At 38.2% G+C, this 9,133-nt stretch overlaps 1 protein-coding gene across 2 annotated transcripts, besides 1 other annotated feature; it reads left to right on the top strand.

The window, feature by feature from the left end:
* MGP (matrix Gla protein) lies at positions 285-5,275 on the top strand. 2 transcript variants are annotated; one of them, NM_001190839.3, is made up of 5 exons: positions 285-408; positions 1,252-1,326; positions 1,894-1,926; positions 3,092-3,167; positions 3,859-5,275. In NM_001190839.3, exons 1-5 carry the CDS (start codon positions 348-350, stop codon positions 3,998-4,000), a joined length of 387 nt encoding a protein of 128 aa, NP_001177768.1. In that variant the 5' UTR covers positions 285-347; the 3' UTR covers positions 4,001-5,275. The 2 variants fall into 2 exon arrangements, with proteins under 2 accessions (NP_001177768.1, NP_000891.2); NM_000900.5 differs by lacking the exon at positions 1,252-1,326.
* Positions 4,198-5,397: an enhancer, noted in NCBI's record as "CDK7 strongly-dependent group 2 enhancer chr12:15033676-15034875 (GRCh37/hg19 assembly coordinates)". NCBI's record gives its function as "activates an origin of replication core promoter dependent on BRD2, BRD4, P300/CBP, MED14 and CDK7 cofactors, with strong dependence on CDK7, by STARR-seq in HCT116 cells {active_cell/tissue: HCT116}" and the evidence as "EXISTENCE:reporter gene assay evidence [ECO:0000049][PMID:35650434]".

Genomic DNA, 9,133 nt, shown 5'->3' with positions numbered 1-9,133 from the left:
GGCAACTTCCTCTGTGGGCTTTTGCCCAGGTCTGTCCCCAAGCATACGATGGCCAAAACTTCTGCACCAGAGCAGCATCCTGTGTAACACAGTCAGGTCCAGCAGTTAGGGAAAACTGCCCACTCAGAGTAGATAATATCTGGAAGGAATGACTGTTTGGGAAAAGTTCCAATGCTAGTTCAGTGCCAACCCTTCCCCACCTTCTCCAGCTCTCTCCCACTGGTTCCTCCCCTCTCAACTGCTCTGGTTCTTATAAAAACCTCACAGCCTTCCACTAACATCCCGTAGGAGCCTCTCTCCCTACTGCTGCTACACAAGACCCTGAGACTGACCTGCAGGACGAAACCATGAAGAGCCTGATCCTTCTTGCCATCCTGGCCGCCTTAGCGGTAGTAACTTTGTGTTATGGTGAGAAACTTTTCTCCCATTTCTCTGTGTTTACTTTTCTGCCTCTGACTTTGGCTTACTTCTATTTTTCCTCTCCCTCCTCCTCTTCTTCCCCCTTTCTCTGTTATAATCTTAAAGTACCATTACTTTCACATTTCCCAGTCTCCGCAGAAACTGATCTGTTCTATTAAGTCTTTTTTATATCCTAAATATCCAGAGTCTTATGCAACTTAACAGGCAAACCCGTTCAGTGGTAAGTCTCTGTATATCTAGAAACTCATATTTCAGAAAGAAGATACCAAATTCCCAGCCCCCTGCATCCTCATTTTTAAGGATATTTATTTAGACTTTGGTATCAATGGGTTAAGGGTATTGTTTAAACCACTTGCCTTTGAGAAAATCCATTTTTATGTGAAGTATTAAGTATAGCCCTTTCTAGGGACTGGACAATCTCATGAACTTACTATGTTTGTTCAGTTAATTAATTTTAAAATAAAGTTTTACATCAAAAGAATTTTAGAAAAGAATCATTTTCATAACTCCTGTTGTCAGAAAATAAATTTTGCCTGTTTTCTATATGTCATTAAATATACCTGCATTTGTTCAAAGCTTATAAAAGGAAATCTGAAGCAAAGTTATTTACTTATTTCAGTCTTTTGTTTCAATTACCTAGATATTTTCATTGTTTTAAAATTTAAATTACATTAACAACCATAAAGATTATGCTTCTCACTCTTGTATTCACAAATTTTCTGTATTAGAGGATTTGATTTCTTCACCTCCTTTTTAAGTTTTGAAGAAAATTCACTTGCTGGCAAATATTAATAGAAGCTTCTTATTCCAAAATTTATCTGCTGTGCTCAGGAGAGTGGCAGAAAGAAGAAAACTTCGGCTTTGATATCGTTTCAGTTCTCTCTCTGAACTGGCATCGTGCCCAGGGTGAGCTGTCAGCTGGAGCTAGTGGTTTCTGTGGCTGCCAATTTAACACAGGTTCTTAAGAGGCTTTCGGAACCCTCTTAGAAACCTGCCCTAGTAAGCCCAGCAGAGCAACTGCCCTGTAGTTCTCTTGCCTGGAGAAACCTGGCTGTCTTCTGGATCCTTCTTAATCCTCTTTGACCCTGTTCTCAAACAGGCTCTGAATAAATCAGAGAAGAAGGTTCTCTGGAGACTTCTGTACAGCACTTAAAGTGTCTTATTTTGCTTGTCTGAAGACGTCATAGCCCTTGGGAAATTTTAGCTGAAAATGGCCACTCCCTCCTTCAACATCAGAGAAACTAAAATATAGAGATATCCACAGCAAGGCCAGAGCTAGAGAAAAACCTCATAAATCCTAAATTCCTGAAATTTCTAATAACCACACTGCTAAATATATTCTTCATGTTTTTAGACTCTTTCCTCTTCTTCCATCCCTGTATTTAAACTATCACAGTGTCTAAATTGATAAATAATAACATAATGAATCATGGATAAATATTGATATAATGAATCTTTTTTTTTTAATTTCAGAATCACATGAAAGCATGGAATCTTATGAACTTAGTAAGTGAATATTTAACTTCTTTATTCAAATCCCTTGCATTAAAGAACCTCTTCTTATTTTTAAATAAACAAGATGGAAAGATATATAACAGGGAGGGAAAAGGGGGCCTCTTTTGGAAAACTAAAGTAAATTTTTAAATCTAATGACTATAAAAATTGCCAAAGGAGCAATTTTTTAAGTTTGAAGTAGTGCAATATGGGATTTAAGCTACAGGCGACATATTTAGAAGCCATAAAATCTCATTTGGAAATTTTAAATTGGCACCACGTCAACTGCACAGATGGAAAACGAGGAGTAATGACAAATGGTAAAGCACAGAGCTGGACGCCAAGTCAGCTGGGAGACCACAGGCGCCACGTTAAGCTGAGTGCTGTTTTGGTTTTTTTGTGTTTTTCTTTCTTGTTTTTTTTTTTGAGACAGTGTCTCACTCTGTCGCCCAGGCTAGAGTGCAGTGGTGTGATCTCGGCTCGCCGCAACCTCCACCTCCCAGGTTCAGGCAATTCTCATGCCTCAGCCTCCTGAGTAGCTGGGATTACAGGCCCATGACATCATGCCTGGCTAATTTTTGTATTTTTAGTAGAGATGGGGTTTCACCATGTTGTCCAGGCTGGTCTCGAACTCCTGGCCTCAAGTGATCCACCCACCACAGCCTCCCAAAGTGCCGGGATTACAGGCATGAGCCACCACACCCAGCCAGCTGATTGCTGTTGAATAGCTGGATTTATAAAGACTGAGCATAGGAGGAAATGGCACATCACTCTCATTTTTAATTTATTCATTATTTTTATAGTGTTTAAACTGTTCATGTATCGGCAATCTAGTTATGCTTCATAAATCCTCAGGACAGAGAATTTCTCCTCAAAAGGAATTTAAAATCTACCAAGTAGAAATACAGAAATTAAGAAAGGCAAAGTGATCGTCCAAACTCAAAACCAACAAAGCCTATATGACAAGTCTCTAAGACACATGGATTGATTACTGATTTCATTTGATCAGGAAGTTAATGAAATCTACTTTATACTCTCCTTTAATTTTTGCCAATCTCCGTTTATATGAGTTGCATAAGTTAAGGCACTTTCAAATATATTTGTGTCAAGGAATATTCACGGAAATATTTCCAGCTATGTGTCGCTAAAACTGCATTTATTTATTTTCTGTTCTAAGATCCCTTCATTAACAGGAGAAATGCAAATACCTTCATATCCCCTCAGCAGAGATGGAGAGCTAAAGTCCAAGAGAGGTCAGTAACAAAACTTCATGAGGAGTGGTCATTTTTCCCAGTGTAGATCACAGATCTGAATTGGAGTGGGAAACAGCTTTTTCATCATATACATTATTTCTAATTGTATCTTTAAAATCAAAAAACTTAAAAGCAATATTCAGAAAACAACTGAATTATTAGAAAATTATTTGGGGAAAGATCCGGAAAGGAGAAGGAAGGAGGAGAGAAAGGAGGACAGAAAGAAAACTTCTATTTTCATTAAAAAAAAAAAAAAAATCTCCTGTTCTGCCTTCCCTCCCTGGTTTTTTTTTTGGTTGGTTGGTTGGTTTTTCTGAGACAGAGTCTCACTCTGTTGCCCAGACTGGATTATAGTGGCACTATCTCGTGCCTCAGCCTCCCAAGTAGCTGGGATTACAGGCACGTGCTACCATGTCCAGCTATTTTTGCATTTTTTGTAGAGACGGGGTTTTGTCATGTTGGCCAGGCTAGTCTTGAACTCCTGACCTCAAGTGATCCACCCACCTCAGCCTCCCAAAGTGCTGGGATTACAGGCCTGAGCCACCGCACCCAGCCTCTCCCTGTTCTTTAAATATCTCTTAATATAGGGGGGCATGGAGAGAAAGTCTCTCCAATATTTTCTTCTTCTTTTCCATTTTTGTATTTTTCCACTTTATCCTTCTCAATTTTGGCCTCTTCTTCCACTTTCTAGGATCCGAGAACGCTCTAAGCCTGTCCACGAGCTCAATAGGGAAGCCTGTGATGACTACAGACTTTGCGAACGCTACGCCATGGTTTATGGATACAATGCTGCCTATAATCGCTACTTCAGGAAGCGCCGAGGGACCAAATGAGACTGAGGGAAGAAAAAAAATCTCTTTTTTTCTGGAGGCTGGCACCTGATTTTGTATCCCCCTGTAGCAGCATTACAGAAATACATAGGCTTATATACAATGCTTCTTTCCTGTATATTCTCTTGTCTGGCTGCACCCCTTTTTCCCGCCCCCAGATTGATAAGTAATGAAAGTGCACTGCAGTGAGGGTCAAAGGAGAGTCAACATATGTGATTGTTCCATAATAAACTTCTGGTGTGATACTTTCATCTTGTAAATCTGCTTTCTTTTGGGAAGATATTGAGATATTTAAATCATGGCCCACCTTACCCAAAATAGGAGATTCTGTTCATCTCATATCTAGTATTAATTAGAAAAATAACTACATAAAAAGAAGGAAGCTAAGAAGGCACTCACTCAGCCATAAATTCTCTAAACCCTCTCTACCTTGGAATCCGTGAATGGAATCTGGTATGTTTTTTGCAGGATTTTCCTATTGTAAATTGTGGCAAATACAGGGCTCCCTTCATTTGCTTTTCATCTCTTATGCATCAAAGTCAAAAACATTTCTGAATCAAGATAATCTAGAAGAGAAAAAAGGAGGAAAAGGAAAAGAGAAAGCAGAAGGGACAAATAAAAGCAATTGGCAAAAACTGTCAATAATAGTTTATACACTTAACTATATCAATAATCACATTATATGTAAATAGTCTAAACAATCCAATTATTTTTTACTTCTACTTATGTTATATTTTTACTTCTACATTTGTTAAAGGTTCCACGCTACATTTTTACTATTCTTGCTTTAAATAATTTTAATAATTTCTTTTAAAGTTTAGATAATAAGAAAATATCCCGGGCCAGGCACAGTGGCCACACCTGTAATCTCAGTAGCCATGACCATACCAATGCACTCCAGCCTGTGAAACAGAGTGAGACTCTGTCTCTACAGAAAAATAAAAAAGAAAAGAAAGAAAAGATCTCATATATTTACCCATGTAATTTTCATTTCCTGTTTTCTTCATTCTTCTTTCCATCTGGTGTCACTTCCTTTCTGCCTGACGACTTCCTTTAACGTTTTTTATAGTTCAGGTCTGCAGGATTCTTTAAGTTTTGTATGCTTGTTTTTATTCTTGAAAGATATTTTCACTGTATATTGAATCCCAAGTTGCCACGTTTCTTTTAATTATTTTAAGGTATTCCACTGAATTCTAGCTTGCACAATTTTTCGATATAAAATTTGTTGTAATTCTTACCTTTGTTCCACTGTGTATACTGCATCTTTTATCTCTGGCTGCTTCTAACATTTTTATCTTTATTAGTGCTTTTGACCAAATTGATTCAGACCTATCTTGATTTGATTTTTCTTATTTTTCTTGTTCTTGAGGCTTATTGACCTTCTTGGATTGCATAAAATTAGAAAAATTTTCAGCCATTATTTTTTCAGATACTTTGATCCCTCACTCCTCCTCTCCTTTAGAGGGTCCAATGACATGCACATTTGACCACTTGAAGTAATCCAACTCTCTGATGTTATTTTAATTTTTACAAATTGCTTTTCTCTGTGTGTTTTATTTTTGACACTTTCTATTAATGTGTCATCAGGTTCATTAACCTTTTCTTTGGCAATATCTAATCTACTATTAATTTCATCTAGTGTATTTTTCATGCCAGACATTGTGGTTTTAATCACCAGAAGTTTGATTTGGATGTTTTCATATCTTCCACGCCTCTACTTATCTTTTTAAATGTCTTTGATACATTTAAATTGTTCCAATAACTATTTTAACATAATGTCAGTTATGGGTTGGTTTGATTGGTTGATTATTCTACTTATGAACCACAATTTTCTACTTTTCTGCATTCTTGCTTAATTTTATTTGACGCCAGACATCATTTGATGCCAGACATTTATTTGATGCCAAAATGCAGAAAATTTTATTTTCTGCATTCTTGCTTAATTTTATTTGATGCCAGACTTTTTGTGTACTGGATATTCTTCTATTTCTGTATGTGTTCCTGAGCTCTGCTCTGGGATTCCGTTAAATGATGTGGATAAAATTGATCAGTATTTAATCTAAGGCTAATTATTTCCCCACACTGAGGCAAGACCTTTCTGAGCACTGCGCCCAATGTCCCATGACAATAATCGTAGCCCTGAGTTAACAGCAGCCACTGTTTCCTCTATTCCTCTTGGATGGTAATCTCCCCACACACATATGCCGATCAGTCCAGTGTGTGCACGAGAGTGCCCTCCACTGATATCCAGGGATCCCTCTCACTCTTTCCTTTGCAGTATTTTGCCATGTGAAATATAGTCGCTGTGTTTTTCCAGAACTCTCAACTCCACCTCAACTCAAAATGTCCACTGGACTCCATCTTGGTTCCCTCTCCCTAAGCTATGGCCTAGAAACTCCCTTAAGGCAATAGGCTGGAGAAGTCATAGGACTTACTCTGTTTTCCATCTCATAGCAATCGCCATCTTTAATTGCCTAATGTCCAGGGTCTTGAAAGACATTTTTTCACATGTATTGCCTGTTTCTTTAGTTGTTTCCGAAGGGAAGGTAAATCCCCCTTTCTTAGATGGAGCCTTAGTTCCTTAGACTCCATCTTAGCTAAAAGTCCATTAAAACAGGCAGGGCTATTTAAACGGTGATCCCAGCCTCAGAGTTCCCCAGTAAAATTGGCTCAGACATATACTGCAGTTACATCACAATTCAAATGCTCACTCTGGCTAGCCCTACTTGCCTCACCCCTCTCATGTGTTGTTCCCCAATAAACCACTCACACACAAATCTCTAAATCTTAGAGTCTGCTTCCTAGGGAACCAAATCTGTGACAATCATTCGGGTGGTAAACAGTGAATAGTCAACCAGCATTTTCTAGCTCCAGAATCCTCTCGCTCCAGCTTGTTTTATTCGTTACATAACACTAGTTTTATAGTTTTGGAGTTGTCAAGAGGTTCAGCAATAATCTATTTCAATCCCCTCATTTTTCAGTTGAAGAATTTGAGAGCTTAAAATCTAAGTGACTTAAGTGACTGTCCCAAGGGCAGGTAATTCTATTTTCTTGAGAAATTCAGTTATACTGACCTCATAAAATCTAATTCTTTAAGCCAGTTTCTTAAAGAGTTGTGTACAAATAGCCCATATATTTTTACCAGCCTCCCATTGTGTACAGTTACACTTTCCAAACTGATGAAGCTATTTTTAATGTAGTTTCTACCTCAGTCAAAATTTTATCTACCTACCGTCTCAGCTCTATAATTTCTTTTTTTGATATATCCTTGTTTTTCAGAACTAAGACACATAAAGTAACATATTACAGGTCTTATTCTCTTCCCCTTTGCTCATCTTGGTAAGGTGTTTCTGTAGATTAATTTAGCCTGAGAACCAAAGCGTGTTTCAACATAAGCAGATTACTCTGCCACCACCCATAAAAGCAATTTGCATCTTAGAAGAGTGTCTAAGAATAAGCACTTTGTAGATAGGCCTCCTAGTTTTTAATGCCAGCTCTGCCTCTGAGAATGTGTCAATCTTGGGCAAGTTAAGTAATCTCACTGGGCCTCAACTCCCTTATCTGCAAAATAAGATTATTCTAGTACCTATCTTAGAGTTGCTGTCAACATTAAACAAATTAATATATGTAAAGTGCACAAAACACTGCCTGGCATGTAGTAAGTGCTCAATAGCTGTTAGCTATTTCTATTGTATTGTATTATACTATTACTATGGTCTGGATATTAAAAATGGCAAGACAATGACTCTTTGGAGAGTCACACCTACACCTCAAGCATCTACAATTGCCTATGAAGAGCGGTCTGCAGGATTCATAGCCAAACACTATAAACAGCACTGGCTAGTTTGTACTCACTTCACTCTTCCTCTCCTCCACCAGGCCATGGCTACCTATGCTGAGCAGCATGCAGTTTCAAAAAAGTCTAGAAAATTAGTGATCTTCATTTTTGTACTCAACTGGGTTTGAAATTTTTGCAGCCAAAGTAATTCATACTAGAATGGAACTAAACTTACATTCTTATATAGTAGTACTAGTAGTAGTAGTAGTAGTAAAATATATGCAAGCACCATGTACCCTTATCCTTTGAATGGAGGGAATCTGTAAATAATCTGTTGTTATATGTACCTTAAGTTCTTGATGTCCTTAATTATCTATCATTAGTAGCCTTTCCATCAGTTCTTCAATTTTAATGCTTCCTTGTTATAATACAGAGCTCTAATGAGAGTGAATTCTATCCTAAACTCATGCTGATTTGGAACCCTGAAACTTTGCCTCTATTGCCTCTGCTTTGCCTATATTTGCCTCTATTTATGAACTAGGGTTCTATTTTATCCTAGTTGGCCCTCCTCTGGAACCCAGACATTGCTACCCGTCTGATTATTCCTAGATATACCTTCTGCCATGTCCCTTACACCAGTAAGTATCCCTGGCCATTAATGTCAGTTCAGAACAAAACACTTTAATCTACTCTGCTTCACTGGCAAGAATGAGACACCTTAATCCAGGATGTGTTACATACCCTAAACTACCAAGCATTGCATAGGGCTGTGTCCCCAGTAGGTAGACTATATGTGTCCGACAATAAGGTGTGGAAGCAGGAGTGGCCTTACTTGTCATCATTTGTAAGCCACATGAGGAATTTATACTTTAAATCCCTACAATTCCAATCTATAGGCCTGGAAATTGTGGTTTAGAAAGAGGAAATATTTTCACCATGGAACATAGGAAGAGTCTCATTTATGTTCTAAAGCTTCACAGTAACTTCAGGCCCTTCATGCCAGGCAGCAAATGAAGGAGTCATCTTCCTAACAGGGTAATTGCCATCAGGAGAAGGTAGGGCTTCCTAACAGGGGTAATTGACATCAGGAGAAGGTAATTTCATCAGGAGAAGGTAGAGCTTCTGTTACACAATCTAAGGAGGGAGAGTGAATCTGATACCACTGAAACATCTCTTGATATGTCTGTGCCCAATCATGATAGTAAATGGACAGATATATCAGCCATGGTCTAGAAGAGCATAGTGCAGAAGCTCCCAACTCTCAAGAAAGGAGCTCTAACTCCCTTACCAGTTAGACACCAAGACCACCAGTTACGCTATGAGTGAGCAAAATCTAGAATGGGTAGTTTTTAAGAGGG

The sequence above is a fragment of the Homo sapiens genome, chromosome 12, assembly GCF_000001405.40.
Source record: "Homo sapiens chromosome 12, GRCh38.p14 Primary Assembly".
NCBI lineage: Eukaryota > Metazoa > Chordata > Mammalia > Primates > Hominidae > Homo > Homo sapiens.
This window is presented reverse-complemented; position numbering and strand designations above follow the sequence as displayed.